The sequence below is a fragment of the Homo sapiens genome, chromosome 16, assembly GCF_000001405.40.
Source record: "Homo sapiens chromosome 16, GRCh38.p14 Primary Assembly".
NCBI classification, from domain to species: domain Eukaryota; kingdom Metazoa; phylum Chordata; class Mammalia; order Primates; family Hominidae; genus Homo; species Homo sapiens.
The window spans coordinates 68,507,064-68,528,858 of record NC_000016.10 but is presented as its reverse complement, the minus strand read 5'-3'; the positions used below and the strand labels follow the sequence as shown (position 1 = coordinate 68,528,858).

The window sequence follows — 21,795 nt, the reverse complement described above, 5'->3', positions numbered from 1 at the left end:
TTTTGCCTCGACCTTCTGGGGCGTGCATCTCAAAACTGCTGGGCTCGAGCGCCACCTGCCGTCCTCTGCGACGCACTACTGCTGTAAAGCCAACCAAGCAGCAACACCAGCAGGGGACCAGGCGAGGCACTTCACACTATCTCAACTGAATTTAACAACCTGTGAGATAGATATTCTCATCCCCATTTGACACCTGGGGTAACAGGTTCAGAGAATTTAAGAAACTTGCCAAGCCCACTCTGACACCAAGTGTCATCCAGGATCCCAGAAGCCACTGTCCCCAGAGCTGTATACCCTCCCATGTCACAGTTGAGCCTCTGGCGATTTTGTCTTCAAGGGCCCTCCAAGGTCCCTTCTGGCCTGCCTCTGACCCTGAAGGCTCAGCATCTCTCTTCTCCAGAGCTTATCATGCCCCTCTGTGGTTAAGACTGGCTGGCGCTGGTCTGATAACCAACAGTGTGTGTGCAAGCCACCACACTGAAACCTTAACTACATTAGAAAGTTGTTTCCTTATACCCAATAGATTTAGGAACTAATTTTATATTAATGAATATGTACATTTCTATTAATCAATATGTACATTTACCTATTTTGTATGTTGTAATGTGGATCTCCCCCCTCCTGTGTCCAGAATTGGTGGGTTCTTGGTCTTACTGACTTCAAGAATGAAGCTGTGGACCCTCACAGTGAGTGTTGTGTCCGGAGTTTGTTCCTTCTGATGGTCGGATGTGTTCAGAGATTCTTCCTTCTGGTGGTTTCGTTGTCTCGCTGGCTCAGGAATGAAGCTGCAGGTCTTTGCAGTGAACGTTACAGCTCTTAAGGCCGCACGTCTGGAGTTGTTTGTTCTTCCTGGTGGGTTCATAGTCTTCCTGGCCTCAGAACCGAAGCTGCAGACTTCCCTGGAAAGTGTTGCACCTCATAAAGACAGTATGAGCCTGAAAAGTGAGCACTAGCAAGAGTAATTGCAAACAGCAAAAAGAATAAAGCTCCTACAGGAAGAAAGAGAATGCGGCAGAATTACCGCTAGGTTCTCGGGCAGCCTGCTTTTATTCTCTTATCTGGCCCCACCCACATCCTGCTGATTGGTCCATTTTACAGAGAGCCGATTGGTCTGTTTTACAGAGAGCTGATTGGTCCGTTTTGACAGGGTGCTGATTGGTGCATTTACAATCCCTGAGCTAGACACAAAAGTTCTCCAGATTCCCACTAGATTAGCTAGATACAGAGTGTTGATTGGTTTATTTACAAACCCTGAGCTAGACACAGAGAAATGATTGGTGCATTTACAAACCTTGAGCTAGATACAGAGTGCAGATTGGTGCATTCACAATCCCTTGGCTAGACATAAAGATTCTCCCAGTCCCCACCAGGGTAACTAGATACAGAGTGCTGATTGGTGCATTCACAAACCCTGAGCTAGACACAGGGTGCTGATTGGTGTGTTTACAAACCTTAAGCTAGATACAGAGTGCTGGTTGGTGTATTTACAATCCCTTAGCTAGACATAAAGGTTCTCCAAGTCCCCCCAGATTAATTAGACACAGAGTGCCGATTGGTGCATTCACAAACCCTGAGCTAGACACAGGGTGCTGATTGGTGTGTTTACTAAACTGTGAGCTAGATACAGAGTGCTGATTGGTGTATTTACAATCCCTTAGCTAGACATAAAGATTCTGCAAGTCCCCACCAGACTCAGGAGCCCAGCTGGCTTCACCCAGTGGATCCCGCACCGGGGCTGCAGTTGGAGCTGCCTGCCAGTTCCGCGCCGTGGTCCCACGCTCCTCAGCCCTTGAACGGTGGATGGGACTGGGCGCCGTGGAGCCAGGAGCGGCGCTCGTCTTGGAGGCTCGGGCTGCGCAGGAGCCTGGGGCGGGGGGAGGTTCAGGCATGGCGGGCTGCAGGTCCCAAGCCTGCTCGGCGGGGAGGCAGCTAAGGTTGGGCGAGAAACCGAGCACAGCAGCTGCTGGCCCAGGTGCTAAGCCCCTCACTGCCCAGGGCTTGCGGGCTGGCCAGGCGATCCCAGTGCAGGGCCCGCGGAGCCCACACCCACCCGGAACTCGCGCTGGCCCGCAAGCGCTGTGCGCAGCCCCGGTTCCCGCCTGCGCCTCTCCCTCCACACCTCCCCGCAAGCTGAGGGAGCCAGCTCCGGCCTTGGCCAGCCCAGAAAGGGGCTCCCACAGTGCAGCGGTGGGCTGAAGGGCTCCTCAAGCGCGGCCAGAGTGGGTGCCAAGGCCGAGGAGGCGCTGAGAGCCAGCGAGGGTTGCGAGGGCTGCCAGCATGCTGTCACCTCTCACTACCCCAGCCAGCATCCCTTCTCTCATCTCTCAGTAACAGCACCCTCTTCCTTTAGGGGCAGTTCTTCTTCCTCCTCTATGAAGTTCTGGTGACGCGGTTAATCACAGACTCCATGTGACCCAAAGCAGGCCAATCAGATGCTTCCCTCTGATGTTTTATGTAGATGCTCTGTAGAAGGAAGCCTTTCCCCCTAGATTGTCAGCAGGGCTGTGAGGATTGGAAGCCAACACACAGAGAGGAGTCCAGAGTGCAGGTTGAGAAAGAGAGTGGGGAGGAAGAGATGAGGGATGGGAGAGGAGGAGATGGGAGAGGGGGATGGGAGGAGGGAAGGGAGAGGAGGCGGCAGAGAGAGAGAGAGTTCTTTTTGTGCCAGTCCCGAGTTAGCTGGCCCTGTGTGCAGCTCTAGCCCTGCTAGTTTCACAGTTTAATTATATGCACCAATAATTTCTTCCTGTTTTGTCCTATGCCAGTTTAAAATAGGTTCTCTGCCCGGGCGTGGTGGCTCACGTCTGTAATCCCAGCACTTTGGGAGGCCGAGGCGGGTGGATCACCTGAAGTCAGGAGTTAGAGACCAGCCTAGTCGACATGGTGAAACCCCGTCTCTACTAAAAATACAAAAAATTAGCCAGACGTGGTGGTGTGCGCCTGTAATCCCAGCTACTCAGGAGGCTGAGGCAGGGGAATCGCTTTGAGAGGCAGAGGCTGCAGTGAGCCGAGATCGTGCCACTGCACTCCAGCCTGGGCGACAGAGGGAGACTCTGTCTCAAATACAGATAAATAAAGTCAACAAATAAATAAAATGGGTTCTTTGACTGCTGCAACCAGAGTCCCGGATAATATTCCATGACACTAGCCACCCCCGAACTCAAAATATTCAAAACAGAATAAAGCTAGTACAGATTTTGTTACACTTTTGATTTTGAGTTAATGACAGACTCACAAGAAGTGCAAAAGTAGAACGAAGAGGTCCCGTGTACCCATCACCCAGTTTCCCTCGATACTGGCACCTTACATAATTCTAGTGCATTCTCAAAATCGGGAAATTGATATTGGCACAATATATTTATCTAAAGTCCTTACTTGGATTTTTACCTGCTTTGCATATATTTTTTATGTCTTTGTTTATAATTCTGTGGCACCTTGTCATATGTATATATTAATAGAACCATGGTAAATTTAAGATACAAAACTCCTATTACGACAGAGAAACTCCCTTTGGGCTATTCTCTTTTTTTTTTTTTTTTTGAGATGGGGTCTTGCCCTGTTGCCCAGGCTGGAGTGCAATGGCGTTTTCTCAGCTCACTGCAACCTCCGCCTCCCGCGTTCAAGCGATTCCCCTGCCTCAGCCTCCCAAATAGCTGGGACTATAGGTGCACGCCACCACGACCGGCTAATTTTTTGTATTTTAGTAGAGACGGGGTTTTACCATGTTGGCCAAAATGGTCTCGATCTCCTGACCTTGTGATCCGGCCACCTCGGCCTCCCAAAGTGCTGGGATTACAGGCGTGAGCCACTGCGCCCGGCCTGGGCTACTCTCTTATGGTGATACCCTTTCTAGCTCCTTCTCTAATCCATGACATCTTTATTCTCCATCTCTATACTTTTAAAATCTCTATTACTTTTAAATGTTATATAAATGAAATCATGCAGTATATGAGCATTTAAGATTGTATTTACTTTTTACTCAGAATAACACCCTTGAAGTCCATCCAAGTCATCATGCATATTAATAATTGATTCCCTTTTATTGCTGAAGACTATGCTATTGTATGGAAAACTTTACCACAGTTTGTCATTAGTTCAGTCTAATTAAAGTTTCTTATTCAGATATATGTTGGGGAGGGCAGATAACAAAAAAAAACCGGGCACTCAGTTCCCCAGACCCACACAGCTGTGAGCATCTGGCGCCTTGTCACAGACACCCTGTGGTGACGTCTGATAGGTCTGATCTTAGGTTACTGACACCTCCATAAGCCCCAGAAAATGACTTTCAGTTCAACAAAAGTTCACTGAGCACCTAGTAGCCCCAGCTGTCTGAGTTCCTCTGGTGTTCTGCCACCCTGGGTCATTCTGAAGGGCTCTACAAACCCTTTATTTTTTATATATTTTCATGTATATCGAAATGGGGTCTCGTTATGTTGCCCAGGCTGGTCTTGAACTCCTGGGCTCAAGTGATCCTCCTGCCTCTGCCTCCCAAAGTGCTGGGATTATAGGCATCAGCCACTGCACCCAACCTTCCACACACTCTTGATTCATCTCAACTGCGGTGACTCAGGCCAGAGCCAAGTGGTGTCACCTCAAGGCAATGTAGTCCCTGTGGGTAACAAGGGTCAGCAGTCAGGAGACCTCACACTGGGCTCCAGTTCAGCCACCTGACTTTCCCAGAGAGGCCCTGCTCAGGCCAGTCACTTGTCCCTTCGTCAATTGATGGATGGGCCCCAGGAGTACCCGAGCGAGAGGTGAAGCCAGCTGGACTTCCTGGGTCGAGTGGGGACTTGGAGAACTTTTCTGTCTTACAAGAGGATTGTAAAACGCACCAATCAGCACTCTGTAGCTAGCAAGGGGATTGTAAAATGCACCAATCAGCGCTCTGTAAAACACACCAATCAGCAGGATCCTAAAAGTAGCCAATCACAGGGAGGATTGAGAAAAGGGCACTCTGATAGGACAAAAACGGAACATGGGAGAAGACAAATAAGGGAATAAAAGCTGGCCACCCCCTTCAGCCAGCAGCGGTGGTCCCCTTCAACACCATGGAAGCTTTGTCATTTTGCTCTTAACAATAAACCTTGCTACTGCTCACTCTTTGAGTCCATGCCATCTTTAAGAGCTGTAACACTCACTGCGAAGGTCTGAGGCTCCATTCTTAAAGTCAGCGAGACCACGAACCCACCAGCGGGAACCAACTCCGGCCACCCTAGCATCCCATGTTTGCCCTCACCTGGTCTCTTTTATCACAGGCTTTCCTCATGGGCTTGAAGTCATGAATGTCCACCCAGGCAAGGCTTTCCCCAGATACCTCTGTGCCCCCGAGACGAGGATATTCAATGACCCTGGGATGTGGCTGGTTGTGGGGAGGGGACTGATCCCACGCAGCCATTCAAGACACAGATGGCATCTGAGGGTTTTTGCAGCCAAGCAGAGGACTGTGTTTAGAAACAAAAAAGTGGACAAGGCCGGGCATGGTGGCTCTTGTCTGTAATCCCAGCACTTTGAGAAGCCGAGGCAGGCAGATCGCTTGAGGCCAGGAGTTCGAGACAAGCCTGGCCAACATGGCAAAACCCCAACTCTACTAAAAATATTTTAAAAATAGCCTGGCCCGGTGGCTGTTCGAAATCATGCCACTGCACTCCAGGCCTGGGCAACAGAGCAAGACTCCATCTTAAAAAAAAAAAAAAGAAAGAAAGTGGACAAAATGAGCCAAGGACAGGATAGAGAAGGAGGGCAGAGAAAGAGTGAGGGACTAGAAATTAAACAAATTTGGGCCAGGTGCAGTGGCTCATGCCTGTAATCCCAGCACTTTGGGAGGCTGAGGCGGGCAGATTGCTTGAGCCCAGGAGTTTGAGACCAGCCTGGCCAACATGGCGAAACCCTATCTCTACTAAAACTACAAAAATTAACCGGGCCTCGTGGTATGCACCTGTAGTCCCAGTTACTTGGGAGGCTGAGGCACAAGAATCACTTGGACCCGGGAGGCAGAGGTTGCAGTGAGCCGAGATCGCACCAGTGCACTCCAGCCTGGGCCACAGAGTGAGAACTTGTCTCCAAAAAAAATAAAAAATAAAAAATTAAACAAGATTGTTCTCATGCTATATTTATTGAATTATGTTTGTATCTGAATTTATTTATTTATTTGAGACGGAGTCTTGCTCTGTCGCCAGGCTGGAGTGCAGTGGTGCAATCTGAGCTCACTGCCACCTCCGCCTCCCAGGTTCAATTGATTCCTCTGTCTCAGCCTCCCGAGTAGCTGGCATTACAGGTGCCCACCACCACACCTGGCTAATTTTTGTATTTTTAGTAGAGGTGGGGTTTCACCATGTCGGCCAGGTTGGTCTCAAACTCCTGAACTCAAGTGATCCACCCACCTTGGCCTCCCAAAGCGCTGGGATTACAGGCATGAGCCATGGCACTTGGCCTTGTATCTGAATTTTTAAATAAACTTGCAAATTAATTAACTTGCAAATATTATAGCCGAGATAGTTTTTGTTCATGGCTGATGTCCTCCAACATTACAACCAGATACATGGATCCAAGAACCTGGTCTAGATTGTCCTGAGGCTGGGCCTGCCAGGGGCCCAGTTACAGAGATATTTGACAGCCAAGCAGGTTCTGTCTGTAAGAGGAACTTACCCACTTATGTGCCCACGAACTGTGTGCTGAGTTAACTGAGCTAAGCTTATGACATAAAGGCTTTATTTATTTATTTATTTATTTATTTATTTATTTATTTTGAGATGAAGTTTCACTCTTTCACCCAGGTTGGAGTGCAGTGGCGCAATCTCGGCTCACTGCAACCTCTGCCTTCTGGTTTCAAGTGATTTTCCTGCCTCAGCCTCCCGAGTAGCTGGGATTACAGGTGCCCACCACCACGCCCAGCTAATTTTTGTATTTTTAGTAGAGATGGGGGTTTCACCATGTTGGCCAGGCTGATCTCAAACTCCTGACCTCATGATCCACCCGCCTCGGCCTCCCAAAGTGTAGGACCACAGAGGCTTTGCTTTATTATAAAGAGTAATGGTTTTTGAGAAGAGCTAAGACAGCTCCTTCATTGTATAGATGAAACTAAAGCCCAGAGAAAGACACTAGTTGGAGGAGGAAGAATGTGGTATAGGAAGGAAAAGATGCCTGTCATCTGCTGGAGGGATTCTTAAGTTACATTGTAGCATTATGTCTTCTTAAATTCACCAGGTAAAAGCTTATGCTTAAAACTATTTAAATTCAAAAGTGGTAATTTAAAAAATAGAATGCTGAGTGAAGTGGCTCGAACCTTTAATCCCAGCACTTTGGGAAGCTGAGTCCGGAGGATCACATGAAGTCAGGAGTTCGAGACCAGCCTGGGCAACAAAGCAAGAGCCTGTCTCTACAAAAAATACAAAAATTAGCTGGGCATGGTAGCATGAGCCTGTGGTCTCAGCTACAGGAGGAAGGCTAAGGTGAAAGGACGGCTTGAGCCCAGTAGTTCGAGGTTTGAGGCTGCAGTGAGCTATGATTGCACCACAGCACTCTAGCCTGGGCGACAGAGTGAGACCCTGTCTCAAAATAATAATAATAATAATAATGATGATGATGATAATAAAGTGAACACATTGCTTGACTGGGCTTTGCTCATTTGCTTTGCTTTCTTCCATTCTGTTCCACTTTCTCTTCGCTCTGTTTCCAGGTCTGCTGTTGTGTGATCTCCAAGTGACTTTCCCTCTCTGGGTTGCTATTTCATCTGTACAATGCAGGAGCTGTTTTGGCTGATCCAAAACACCATTTTAATTTTTCCTACCACAACTGCTAAGTCCAGTTCAACCAGTGAAGGTGTGACCTGAGCAGAGGTGAGAAAACACGAAGGTGAAAGTAAGCTGGGTCCTTCATCTCTGCCTGGACCTTGGCCTGGGCTCACGGCCTGCCTGGGGCTGATGGCCACAGACCCCCGCCCCCACCCCAGCGTCTGATACGCCGCGCCTGGGGCGATCTTGGTACCTCCCCGCCACCGCGTGGGGACAACACATTCGCAGCTCCGCGGTTACCAAGGCGACCCAGCTGGTGTATCCTCGGTAGCCCCCTAGCGGACACTTATGGAACCTGCAGTTCTTTCCTTTACCTCGGGCGGCGTATTTCACCTGCAGCCCTGTCCAGAGAGGGGGCGGCTCTCTTACCTGGCCTCTGTATTGCTTCTCTCTACCCTGAGCCTGGCCACCCGCCCCACCTCTCCAGACATTTCGGTTTCTCCTCCAGGGACCAGGCTTCTCTGGCTTTGTCACCCAGGCACAACAGCTCTAATTACCCATCCCTTCCAGCCAGGGTCCTGGGGACTTCAGAAGGGCTGTCACCCACGGCACTTCCAAAGTCCCTCTCGAGAGTGTAAAAGTCTGGCCGGGCGCGGTGGCTCACGCCTGTAATCCCAGCACTTTGGGAGGCCGAGGTGGGTGGATTATCCAGCCTGGCCACCATGGTGAAACCCCGTCTCTACTAAAAATACAAAAATTAGCCGGGCGTAGTGGTGGGCGCTGTAATACCAGTTATTTGGGAGGCTGAGGTGGGTGGATTATCCAGCCTGGCCAACATGATGAAACCCCGTCTCTACTAAAAATGCAAAAATTAGCCAGGCGTAGTGGTGGGCGCTGTAATACCAGTTACTTGGAAGGCTGAGGCAGGAGAATCGCTTGAACCTGGGAGGCGGAGGCTGCAGTGAGCCGAGATCATGCCACTGCACTCCAACCTGGGCGACAGAAAGACTCTGTCTCAAAACAAAAAAAAACAAAGAAGAGAGAGTGCAATTTATTATTATTTTTTTCTGAGACAGAGTCTCGCTCTGTCGCCCAGGCTGGAGTGCAGTGGCACTATCTTGGCTCACTGCAACTTCCGCCTCCCGGGTTCAAGTGATTCTCCTGCCTCAGCCTCCAGAGTAGCTGGGCTACAGGGGTGCACCACCAGGCCTGGCTAATTTTTGTATTTTTAGTAGAGCTGGAGTTTCACCATATTGGCCAGGCTGATCTTGAACTCCTGACCTCAAGTGATCCACCTGCCTCGGCCTCCCAAAGTGCTGGGATTACAGGCGTGAGCCACTGTGCCTGGCAATGAGTGTAAAAATCTTATGTGATGTGGAGTAAAATACCCTTCCCTCGGCCAACCCCCTGTCCACACCCCACCCCCAGCAACCCTTGACTCAGACTCTGGCTTTGGGATCCACTTTTCCTTACAGGCCTCGTGCATCTGTGTGATGGAATCCCATAGGCAGCACAGCCCGGCCGGAATCCAGGGAGCCACTAGTGCATGGGGTGGGGCAGCATCACCAGAACTGGGCATACAGCCTCTGTTGGGAGACAGGCAAGCATACAGACAAGCCAACCCAATACAGGACTGGAGGTGGGCAGTCACAAGGTTGGTGGCGCAGTGTGCTGGGAGCACCACATGGAAGGGGGAGGACCACAGCCTGAGCTGGGCAGAAAGGCTTCCTGGAGGAAGTGATGCTTGAGCCTTGAAGGATGAGTAGGCGCTGGCCTGGGGTAGAGATCTCAGTGATGGCTTGAGGGGTGGGGGAGGACTTCTCTTCAGAGTCTACCTTCCTGAGTGTCACTCCTCATCAGGGCCCCTCCTTGCCCTTTTCCTCTTCTCACCCTGTCCCCATTCCCTGGGCAACCTTCCCCAGCCCAGCAAATGTAACCAGCATCTCCTTGTTACACGTGATCCTTTTCTCCTCGTCACAGGCAGTCCCTGGATGTGCCCTGGACTTGCTTGCCTTCCTGGTGAGTTTATTCATCCTTCAAGACCCAGCTAGAAGGCTGAGCACAGTGGCTTATGCCTGTAATCCCAGCACTTTGGGAGGCTGAGGCGGGTGGATCACTTGAGGTCAGGAGTTTGAGACCAACCTGGCCAACATGGTGAAACCCCGTCTCTACCAAAAATACAAAAATTAGCCAGGTGTGGTGGCGGGTGCTCATAATCCCAGCTACTCGGGAGGCAGAGGCAGGAGAATTGCTTGAACCCAGGAGCCAAGGTTGCAGTGAGCAAGATTGCGCCATAGCACTCCAGCCTGGGCGACACAGCGAGGCTCCGTCTCAAAAAGAAAAAGACCCAGCTAGATGTTCACTCTTTCTGGCACCTTCCCAAAACCACCCTTTCAATCCTGTATTTATTCCACAAACTTCTACTGAACACCAGGTATTAGGCCCAGGATGTGGCCCTACATTGCAACTTTTTTTTTTTTTTTTTTGAGACAGGGCCTCACTCTGTCACTCAGGCTGTGGTGCAGTGGTGAAATCATAACTCACTGCAGCCTTGAATTCCTGGGCTCAACCAATCCTCCTGCCTCAGCCTCCCACGTAGCTAGGACAACAGGCGTGTCCCACTATGCCCGGTTAATTTTTGTATTTTTTATAGAGATGGGATCTTGCTTGTTGCCCAGGCTGGTCTTTAACTGGCCTCATGTCATCCTGTCACACTGGCCTCCCAAAGTGTTGGGATTACAGATATAAGACACCGCACCTGGCCCCTACATTGCAACTTTCTGTTCATCTGTCGGTCTTCCTAGCTGGCCAGGATTTCCTGTGAGCCGGGGGGAAGCTGAGTTGTATATTTTATTAATCCTCAGCCTTTAATATTCATGCCCTGAATGAATGGGTTAATGAATGAATTAATATAAGTACAGCTTCTTGCAAAAAACAAATAAGAAACACCTCAGTTCACAGGGCTGGCACTCTCTGATTTCCAGTTCTGTCCCCTGCCACTCTCTCAAAGGTATTTGGTCATATGTTATTAAATTAAAGTGAATTAAAATTTGCTTGAAATAACTACAGACTCCCCCGCTCTCCTGGGCCTGCAATGACCAGATTACATCTCCTCCAGGCACAGAAGTTTGACATTTCATTGCAAAGTCATTTTCTTCTCATTTCCTTATGTTGCTAAAATATTCTATTTCTCTTCACTTCCCCTTTGTGTCCCCATTACTCACGTTTAGTTAAATTTATCTGCTGCCATTTAATCATCTGAGATAAGCTTGCTGGTGTGGCTGTTCTTAGGGCACTGCCTCGCCTTCCCAGACCGTCTGTCTCCTCCCAGGCCACTCGGAGAATGGGATCCAGACCCCTCCCCCTGGGGACAGAGTGTCTGGGTTACCTTCAGACCCTGGGTTTCTCCCCAAGGCAACTGACTTCAGGGTCCTCCCTGCCCCCAACCCACCCACCGCCTTCCTCCCCAGCCTCCTCCTCTTCTGTTTTCTGGGGTATGGTTTTCATTCCGCCTCCTGACCTGGCACTTCTGTGGCCCCTTTGGTCACACTGAGCAAGTGGCCTCATAATTCTTCTCTCAGTGGGATCAATGAGTAAATCCTTAAAGGGACAAAATATCTAGCAGAGTAGCCAATGTGGGAATTGTTCAGTGCCTGCTTGGGACACTGCCAGACCCACCACATTCCCAGAGCTGGCTGGGGTACCCTTCTCCTCTCTGGCCTACCCATTCTCACAATGTAACCAGGGGAACATTATTCTCCCTGGAGGTAGTTGGTGGAGATCAGAAAGGCACATTTTGCTGGGCGCCGTGGCTCACGCCTGTAATCCCAGCACTTTGGGAGGCTGAGGCAGGCAGATCACATGAGGTCAGGTGTTCGAGACCAGCCTGGCCAACATGGTGAAACCCCATCTCTACTAAAAATACAAAAATTAGCCAGGCATTGTGGCCGGCGCCTGTAACCCCAGCTACCTAGGAGGCCGAGGCAGGAGAATTGCTTGAACCCAGAGGCAGAGGCTGCAGTGAGCCAAGATCGCGCCACTACACTCCAGCCTGGGCAACAGAGCAAGACTCTGTCTCAAAAAAAAAAAAAAAAAGCCTCCTGGGAAGAACAAAAAGACATTGGCAGAAAGAAACTGAAGGTTACTCCTGGGCCAAGGGGCAAAGAAGGGGTTGTCAGGGGACTTAGCCTAAATTTCAATGAGGGACAAAGGGAAAAGAAACTCCATAGGGTCAGTGTAAAGGACAAAGGGAGACAAATAGAAATTGTTTTATAGTTATATTTTATGAGTCACGTTTGTAGGACTATACATATATTATTTATATGTCATTTAATTTCTTTCTTTAAATAAATGTGCTTTATTTAATTAATTTATTTTTTGAGACAGGGCCTCACTCTGTTGCCCAGGCTGAGTGAAGTGGCACAATCACAGCTCACTGCAACCTCAACCTCCTAGGCTCAAGAGATCTTCCCACCTCAGCCTCCTGAGAAGCTGGGACTACAGGCGGGTGCCACTATGCCCAGCTAATTCGTTTTCTTTCTTTCTTTTTTTTAAGAGATAGGGGTGTCCCTGTGTCACCCAGGCTGGAGTGCAGTGGTGCAATCATAGCTCACTGTAGCCACAAACTCCTGGGCTCAAATGATCCTCCTGCCTTGGCCTCTTGAGTAGATGGGACTATGAGTGTGCAACACCACACCTGGCTAATTTTTTAAAAGGTTTTTTGTAGAGATGGGATCTCACTGTGTTGCCCAGGCTGGTCTTGAACAACTGGTCTCATGTGATCCTCTCACCTCTGCCTCTCAAAGCGTAGGGATTACAGGTGTGAGCCACTTTGCCTGGCCTAAAATGTACTTTATTCTTGTGTCAATTCAAAACGTATGCATCTTTCTAGAACAAGATCCTATCTCCGGTCTACATTCATCGATATTTTCTATGATCTACAATTGCATCTAGGTCAAACAATCTATTATCTTTATTATTTCCCAGTTTATGCTCTTAAACTCTTATTTCGTTTAATTTTCACAACAACCCTGAGAGAGAAGAGCTCTTGTTCTTTGTGTTCTATGTCTCAGGACCAGAAATTAAGAAAGGGGTCCAAGGAGTAAGGGACAAGAGCCAAGGTTGATTGGAAAAGTCAGGCCTGGCATTTGGGGATGTAGGCAGTGGTGGTGCCAACAGGTGGTGTCAAGGGGCTTTAGGAGCGGGTGTCAGCAGCTGCCATGGGCTGAACGTTTATGTCCCTCCACAATTCACCAATGTGATTGTATTAGGAGGTGGGAGTCTTCGGGAGGTAATTAGGTCATAGGGTTGGAGCGTGCTCATGCTGGGGATTAGCGCCCTTATAAAACAGGTTCCAGAGAGCTAGCTCACCCCTTCCACCACATGAGGACACAAGGAGAAGGCGCCATCTGTGAACTGGAAAGCAGACCCTCACTAGACGCCGACTCTGCTGATACCATGATTGTGGACTTCCCAGCCTCCAGAACTGTGAGAAGTCAATTTTTGTTGCATATAAGCTGCCCAGTTTGTGGTTATTTTGTTATAGCAACCAAAACAGACTAAGACAGCAGCCCTCCCTCAGATCTCAGTCACACCTCTATTCTTAATTATAGGCAGTTGCTTAGATGCCCTCTGAGGAGGTTCTGGGTGGGGCCTTTTGATAGATGCCTCTAGGACAGTGGCACCGTGGCAACCGGGACTTCCACAAGGGTGCATGAGGCTCTCTGTCTTTCTCTGTGTGTGTGTGTGTGTGTGTGGTTTTTTGTTTTTTGTTTTTTTTGTTTTTGTTGTTGTTTGTTTGTTTTGTTTTGTTTTTTTGAGGGGGGTCTCGCTCTGTTACCCAGAGGCTGAAGTTGCAGTGGCGCGATCTCACCTCACTGCAACTTCCGCATCCCGGATTCAAGCGATTTTCCTGCCTCAGCCTCCTGAGTAGCTGGGAGTATAGTCACACGCCACTATGCCAGGCTAATCTTTGTACTTTTAGTAGAGACAGGGTTTCGCCATGTTGGCCAGGCTGGTCTCAAACTCCCGACCTCAGGTGATCTACTCACCTTGGTCTCCCAAAGTGCTGGGATTACAGGTGTGTGTGTGTGCCACCACACCCGGCCTTCACTCTCTCTTTCTGAGAAGATTTCTCACTATGTTGCCCAGGCTGGCCTTGAACTCTCGGGCTCAAGTTATTCTCCTGCTTTGGCCTCCTAGGTTAGCTGAGACTACAGGCATACACCACACCCAGCTACTCTGTCTCTTGAAGACCCCCTCGAACACTGGGTCAAGTGTCATGACCAGAACTGATAAACCCAGAGCCTTGTTTGAGTGAGCTCGAGTTTTGCAAGGAGCAAGAACCAAGAATCTGTCTGCAGGGAAGAGGGTACCCAGGGCCAGGAGACAGGTGAGCACTTCCAGGCCCGGTGCCAGGGGGGTGCTACCTGCAACCAGACAGTTCCCAGGAGGCCTGGCAAGGCTCTTACTTCTGGCTCCCTCCCAGAGATTCCTCTGGGTCTCTGCAGGGACACCATTCCCTTTGTAAACTTGGCTGTGGGTGGTTCTGGTTTCACATCAACACATCCCTAAGCAAGATAGAAATTCTAAAAACCTAGATTTCTTGAAAAATTTAAAATTTCTTGTATGAACTGGATTCTTCCTTTCTTAATGCCACTTACTTATGGGTACTGTATCTTCAAGAATGCAACAGGCCCCCAAGAAGACCATAGGTCCTGGCTTGTATCCCCAGCCTCCTTTCTGCCATTTCGTTCCCTTGGAATAGATGGATGAAAATGGGCAGGCCGGCCTGCGAGCACCCACCTAGTGCAGACACATGGCTGTCATTTGCAGTAGGGATGGACTGAAGTCTCACGGGTTTTTCGGAGCCCAGCCACATGTACCTGGAGGTCAGAAGAAACATCTGCCAGAGGCTTAGATGCAGCTGACATTGGCCTATTTCTTTTTTTCTTTTCCTTTTTTTTTTTTTTTTTTTTTTTGAGGCAGAGTCTTGCTTTGTCACCCAGACAGGAGTGCAGTGGCGCAATCTCGGCTCACTGCAACCTCCACCTCCCGGGTTCAATTGATTCTCCTGCCTCAGCCTCCCAAGTAGCTGGGATTATGGACATGCGCCATCATGCCTGGCTAACTTTTGTATTTTTAGTAGAGATGGGGTTTCGCCATGTTGGCTAGGCTGGTCTCAAACTCCTGACCTCAACTGATCCACCTGCCTCAGCCTCCCAAAGTGCTAGGATTACAGGCATGAGCCACCGAGCCCAGCTGACATTGGACTACTTCTGAAGGAAGAGTCTTGCATTTTGCCCTTTAACAAGACTTCACAGGTGATTTAATGTGACTCCAGTAGAGGCCACATCTGGGGTGTCCAATGGGTGTTATTTTTTGAAGCTCCTCTTTCATTTTTTCCAGTGAACGAGTTTCAGCAGGTGTTGAGAAGTCTGAGGCAGCAATGGGTGAGCTGCCATGAGACAGTGTATGTCTGGTGTCTAATTTGATTGACTTGTTTTCGTGTCCATGAGAACTTGGAGCCAGGAATAAAAAGCACAAGCGGCAGAGATGACAGCTCCTTGCCACATGTCCCACCTCTCTCCACTCCAAGGGTTCACTCTATAGCCACAGAGAGATGGGAAAGAAATGTGTCAAAGAATTCATGTCAGACACACATGGAGTGGGAGATTGTTTTTGATTACTTGTTTGTTTGTTTGTTTGTTTGTTTGTTTTTTGTGAGACAGAGTCTTGCTCTGTCTTCCAGGCTGAAGTGCAGTGGTGCAATCTCAGCTCACCACAAGCTCTGCCTCCTGGGTTCAAGAGATTCTCCAGCCTCAGCCTCCCTCGTAGCTGAGATTACAGGTGTGCACCACCACGCCTGACTAATTTTTGTGCTTTTAGTAGAGACATGGTTCCACCTTGAGGGCCAGGCTTGTCTCGAACTCCTGACCTCAGGTGATCCACCCGCCTCAGCCTCCCAAGGTGCTGGGATTACAGACGCCCGGCCTGTTGTTGATTATTTCTGAAAAGCCTCAGAAAAACCTCTTCCCCAAACTAGCCACCATAAGGCAAGATGGTGATTTATTAAGCATGAGTTGGACTGGCTTAGCTCTCCTGGTTGGCTAAAATTGGCCAGAAAAATAAAGTAATTTGTGGTTGTCAGATTCTAAATTAAATGATTCAAATACTACTGTGGCTGATTAAAAGGCTTTATTCAATTTCCTCCTGACCACATGCTCTCCTGTGAGACCAGGAGATACTGTTTCTAGAAGAAATGCACTATTTGGAGCCTGTTGATCTAATCTAATGGATGGTGGTTATTAAATATGGTCTCCCTACTTTTTTCTAAATGAAAGGTGAGACTAAAGAAGGAGGAAGAAATGACTCCCTGTTTGTTTAACTATGAATGATTCTCTCTTGCCAGGTTTCTGGGTAGCAGCCTCTACAGTGAACCAGGGTGGATACCTAAGACATTTTTAAGTACCCTTAAAAGACCTCTAGGCAACCATAACAAAGGTCAACAAATGAAACTCAAGCATGAATAAACAGGAAGAAGAGTCTAGGATTGTAGCCGACCATCTAATGGTGCAGTGCATCACCCACGGTACCCGCTGAAGGGACAGTCTTGTGCCGGCCATCTCAGTGCCCTCCCTTCTTGGCCTTGCTGATTAGACCCCAAGGGAACCAGGACACAAGGCGGCCAATCCAGAGATGTATCATGTGCCCTGGCGGAAGACAGATGAGCTGGCTTAGGAACATGAATGAGGAACTCCAGCAATGAGGAGGTTAGCAGCTGATGCAGGCATTGAAAGGGGGAGAGAAAGAGGTCAGAGAGAGACCACGTGACTCTGGGAGAGCGCTGGAGTAACCAGCTGGCCCCTAGAGTGGGCCTTACTCTGGTCCAGGCTCTGTCTGGACCAGTTTGTTGCACTCATCTTGAAAGCAAGCTCAGCCCTTCTTCTTTTTAAAAAAAATTTTATTTCTTTACTTTTTTTTGAGACAGGGTCTTGCTCTGTCACTCAGGCTGGAGTGCAGTGGCACTAGCAAAGCTCGCTGCAGCCTCAACTTCCTGGGTTCAAGGGATCCTCCCACCTCAGCCTCCCAAGTAGCTGGGACCACAGGCAAGTACCACCATGCTCATCTGATTTTTATTTGCTTATTTTAAAATTTATTTTATTTTTTTCTGAAATAGGGTTTCACTCTGTCACCCAGGCTGGAGTGCAGTGGCACCATCTCCACTCACTGCAACCTCTGCCTCCCAGGCTCAAGCGATTCTCCTGCCTGCCAGGTGAGTAGCTGGGACTTCAGCCGCGCATGACCAGGCCTGGCTAATGTCTGTATTTGTAGTAGAGATGAAGTTTTGCCAAGTTGGCCAGGCTGATCTCAAGCTCCTGGTCTCAAGTGATCCTCCCACTTCGGCCTCCCAAAGTGCTGGGATTACAGGTGTGAGCCACTGCTCCCAGCCTGCAGCCCTTCTTAAGGTGGCCTAAGCAGGACTCAAAGGAGCCCAGCTGACCCCAGGAATCAACAGAAGATTTTCAGCAGGAACCACAGAGCAGTTCACCACCATATAAAACACAGCGGCTTTTGGAGAGTGAGTTGTGTAATCTACAAGGGATATCATGAGGCCAGACCACGGGGCAGGAAATGGCCCTTTGACCAAAGCAAGGAGGAGGATGGCAGTCTCTGGGGAAGAATGGGGCTCACCTCCCTGCGGCCACCTCCCACTAACCTCACCTCTATGCTTCTGTCTCTGGAGGAAAGGATGCCACAGCCTGGCCCTCCTACCCCAGGCCAACAGACAAGGGGGCTCACAGAAGCGAAGCTTGCTTTGAACTCCAAGTACCTCCAAGGTCTGGTAAGACAGCATGACCTTGGACCTTGGAAGGGAGCACAGATGGAAACACACCCAGGCCCTGGCTTGGCCCATCGATAGGTGCAGGATCCCTCATCTGGGATTCCCTTGGTTTATTGAATGAATTTGTTTCCATTTACACTTTGGTTTTAGCCAGTGTATATTTTTCATTATGTTAAGAATTGGTCTCATGTAGTGAATAAGGCCATAGGCCTTGGTGCCAGGCTGTTGGGTGAGTTTCTGGCCCTGCTACTTACTGTGTGGCCGTGACCTAGTCACTTAGCCTCTCAGTGCCTCAGTTTACGCATCTGTAGAATGGGAACAATCTGCCTCTCCCTAGTGTCATTGTTTGTGAGATTAAAGGATCTGTCTGTCCTGTGCCACGGCTTGCAACAGATTCTGCCCATGTCAATATCAGCTTGATGGTTTATTGGACATTTGTGTTTCTTTTCTCTTCTTTTTCTTTTCTTTTCTTTCTTTTATTTTTATTTTTATTTTTATTTTTTCTTGAGACAGAGTTTTGCTATTGTCACCCAGGCTGGAGTGCAATGGCCTGATCTTAGCTCACTGCAACCTCAACCTCCGCCTCCTGGGTTCAAGTGATTCTCCTGCCTCAGCCTCCTGAGTAGCTGGGATTACAGGCGCCCGCCACCACATCCAGCTAATTTGTGTATTTTTAGTAGAGACGGGGTTTCACCATGTTGGCCAGGCTGGTCTCAAACTCCTGACCTTGTGATCTGCCCACCTCAGCTTCCCATAGTGCTGGGATTACAAGCGTGAGCCACCGCGCCCGGCCCTTGTGTTTCATTTCAAATGCTTCTGTCCCGGCCCTTTGACCGTTTTTTTATGGGGGATGTTTTTCCGGTTGACAAGTAGGAGTTCTTAACCGCCAGCGCCCTCCTCCGTCTGCGCTGCGCAGCTGAGGCCCGTACAACCTGCAGGGGGCGCCCGGGGCTCGCGCTGCCTCGACGCGGTGGCCCGTGGGTGTCCGGGCCGGAGAACTCCAGATCCGAGTGCGTCCTCTTGGTCCACGAGCCTCCTCCCTCTCCCTTACCCAAGGACAGTGAGCTGGAGCGCGGGCGGCTGGACGCGTAGCGCAGCCTTCGCAACGGGTCTTTTTTCGTCCCACTTTTTATGGGACCTTGGGCTTCCAAACCGACGTTGGATGGTTTGTCAGCGGATACTTTCACCGCCCACAGCAAACTTGCAGAGCCAAGCGGGCTGTTCTCCGGAGGCTCTCGGAGGACGCCCCCTGCCAGCTGCCGGCATCTGGGGGAGAGGGACAGCATTTGGGGTGGGAAATGAAGTTCTGGTTTTGCACATTTACTGGCCTACACTGGCGTCTCACTGTGACCTAGAAACTGGAGATGGAGGCTAGGGGTGGGAGTTGAGGAGCCAGAGGCTGTGGGGCGGGGGTTCCCACTGGGATCGGTTGGTGGGGTCACCAAGCAACAGCTCCCCATCAGGCAGAGGCCTTAGACGGCAGCATCATGGGCGACGGATGGAGACCATGGGATTCAGGGGCCTGAGAGGGAGGCAATGGGATGGCCACAGAATGCAGCCAGAAATGAAGGGACAAAGAAATCCCTGGGGCTGCAGACCAGTGGCCTCTGTGGTGGCCAAGGGTGAGGGAGACACAGGGCGCTAGGTATGGCAGAGGTGCCACCCTAAAGGCCAAGACTGTACAGGGCTGGACCTGGCAGCACCCGGAGAGGGACCAAGGAAGTTTGTGATCTGGACGATGACATAGGTCGTTCTTACCCATCACAGTTACCCAAGATGAAGGGAGGTCCCTGAGCTGAGAAAAGGGCTGGGCGCCTGCCTGTAATCCCAGTGCTTTGGGGGGCCGAGGTGGGAGGCCAGGAGTTCAAGCCTGCAGTGAGCCATGATCATGCCACTGTACTCCAGCCTGAGTCACAGAGTGAGACTCTGTCTCTAAAAAAAAAAAAAAGAAGAAGAAGAAGAAGAAAAAAAAAACAGACTGGGCGTGGTGGCTCCAGCCTGTAATCCCAACCCTTTGGGAGGCCAAGGCTGGCAGATGGCTTGAGCCCAGGAGTTCAAAACCAGCCTGGGCAACATAGTGAGACTCTGTCTCTACAAAAAATGCAAAAATGAGCCGGGCGCAGTGGTGTGCACCTGTGGGCCCAGCTACTTGAGAAGCTGAGGCGGGAGGATGTTTTGAGCCTGGGAGGCTGAGGTTGCAGTGAGCCAAGATCGCCCATTGCACTCCAGCCTGGGAAAAACTGGGGAGAGAAAAAGTGAGCCAAGCCCCAGAGCAAGGGCTGGGAAGGGAGAACAGCAAGCAGGAGCCTCAAAAACTGGGGCGGTGGGGACGGGGGGTGTGAAGGGGGTGGGATTGTTCAAAGGCACAGGAGCAGTGGTTTCCAGGGATACTGGGGGGTCTGGAGAAGGGACAGCAACTCCCAGGAGATGTGGGGAAGCTGTGGCCAGCAGGGGACAGCTGCAAAGCAGGAGATGGAAGGCTGAGGATGTGTCTGTAACAGATGGCCCCTGCTTTCCAGGGCGTGGAGGACAGCACTTGGGGAGTGGGTGAGAAGACAGGAGACTTCAGTGGGTGGGAGGACAAGATGGGGTGACCAAGAGTGTGAGGGTGGAAGTCTGGACAGGACCCTGGGCTCATCACATGGGCCTCCGGGCAGAACCAGGGCAGCAGAGCCTCCACTCACAGCCTGGACACCAGCCTCTCCTTGGAAGAACCCATCTCCTATTAAGAACCCTGTGGCACAGTGGATCATGCCTGTAATCCCAGCACTTTGGGAGGCCGAGGTGGGCGGATCACCTGAGGTCAGGAGTTGGAGACCAGCCTGGCTAACACGGCAAAACCCCATCTCTACTAAAAATGCAAAAATTAGCCGGGCATTCTGGGCGCCTGTAATCCCAGCTACACGGGAGGCTGAGGCTGGAGAATCACTTGAACCTGGAACCTGGGAGGTGGAGGTTGCAGTGAGCCAAGATCGTGCCATTGCACTCTAGCCTGGTCGACAAGAGCGAAACTCCATCTCAAAAACAAAAAACAAAAAACAAAACCAACAACCCTGCACTATGACGGGTCCTTAAGGAGTGAGTCATGGGCTCTCACTGCACACCAAGGAGCCCCACATGTGAAAATGCTTCTAGAAACATTGAGTGCTTGTAAAGACCTACTGCTGGGCATATTGGCCCTATTAGAGGGAACATTTTATCACACGAAGGCACAGGTAGGTTGTTTCATGGTAATTGCTTTCCTAAACCATAGAGAAAAACGCATCACAAACCCAGCACAGTTAACTAAAGTGGTCACATTCCTCTTCTTTGATTTAAAGCTATTTAGAAATATTAGCAACTGACTTTGCCTCCAGGTTGTCGGTGCTTTTTTTTCTCGACTGTAACTTTTTCTTTTGAATCCCATGAAATATCCTGAGTACACCAGGAGGGAGGAATGAAAATATGTTTGCATTTCCAGCTCTGCAGCCAACTGCTACTCAGACAATACCCTCAATGTGTAACCTGGGAGTTTAATATTCTCAAATATTTATAATTACGCAGAAACAGCCCGAAGAAATGTTCAGCTTCTTCACAGCTGGATAATTATCTACATTCAATGTTCACAACCTCAGAGCTGCTTCTCAGAGTTTGGGGTGCCTCTCTGCCACTTGGGCATGCAGAGTACATGGGTTCTGTGGGCAGATTCCTAACGGGGCATAGAAGTGGCATGGGGAGATCCCATGCCAGCGTGCTCTCTCTCTCTCTCTCAAGAGTCCTGCTCTGTGGTACAGGCTGGAGTGCAGTGGTACAATCATTGCTCACGGTAGCCTCGAACTCCTGGGCTCAAGCAGTCCTCCCACCTCAGCCTCCCGAGTAGCTGGGACCACAGACGCATGCCACCGCACTTGGTTATTATTTTTTAAAATTTCAATAGGTTTTGGGGGAACAGGTAGTGTTTGGTTACAAGGATATGTTCTTTAGCGGTGATTTCTGAGATTTTGATGCACCCATCACCCAAGCAGTCTACACTGTACCCAATGTGTAGTCTTTTATCCCTCACGCCTCTCCCATTTTTTTTTCGGACTAATTAAAAAAAAATTTTTTTTTTCGTAGAGACGAGATCTTACTTTGTTGCCTAGGCTGGTCTTGAACTCCTGGCCTCAAGCAATCCTCCCACCTCAGCCTCCCAAAGTGCTGGGATTACAGGGGGAAGAAAGGCTCAATCATTCCCAGCAAATT

The 21,795-nt window shown here is 49.8% G+C and overlaps 1 long non-coding RNA gene across 2 annotated transcripts, besides 4 other annotated features; it reads left to right on the top strand.

Moving 5' to 3' along the window:
• Positions 7,745 to 7,794: an enhancer, noted in NCBI's record as "active region_11021". NCBI's record gives its function as "activates an Ori minimal core promoter by ATAC-STARR-seq in GM12878 lymphoblastoid cells {active_cell/tissue: GM12878}" and the evidence as "EXISTENCE:reporter gene assay evidence [ECO:0000049][PMID:35858748]".
• Positions 7,835 to 7,884: an enhancer, noted in NCBI's record as "active region_11020". NCBI's record gives its function as "activates an Ori minimal core promoter by ATAC-STARR-seq in GM12878 lymphoblastoid cells {active_cell/tissue: GM12878}" and the evidence as "EXISTENCE:reporter gene assay evidence [ECO:0000049][PMID:35858748]".
• Positions 7,905 to 7,984: an enhancer, noted in NCBI's record as "active region_11019". NCBI's record gives its function as "activates an Ori minimal core promoter by ATAC-STARR-seq in GM12878 lymphoblastoid cells {active_cell/tissue: GM12878}" and the evidence as "EXISTENCE:reporter gene assay evidence [ECO:0000049][PMID:35858748]".
• LOC105371321 (uncharacterized) lies at positions 12,842 to 16,750 on the top strand. 2 transcript variants are annotated; one of them, XR_933693.3, is made up of 4 exons: positions 12,842 to 13,217; positions 13,932 to 14,121; positions 16,141 to 16,501; positions 16,720 to 16,750. It is a non-coding gene; the product is annotated as an uncharacterized LOC105371321 (long non-coding RNA). The 2 variants fall into 2 exon arrangements; XR_002957904.1 differs by having other exon boundaries at positions 16,141 to 16,730.
• Positions 20,334 to 20,834: an enhancer, noted in NCBI's record as "H3K4me1 hESC enhancer chr16:68541928-68542428 (GRCh37/hg19 assembly coordinates)". NCBI's record gives its function as "activates a minimal SCP1, AML or CMV promoter by ChIP-STARR-seq in naive H9 embryonic stem cells {active_cell/tissue: H9 hESC(naive)}" and the evidence as "EXISTENCE:reporter gene assay evidence [ECO:0000049][PMID:30033119]".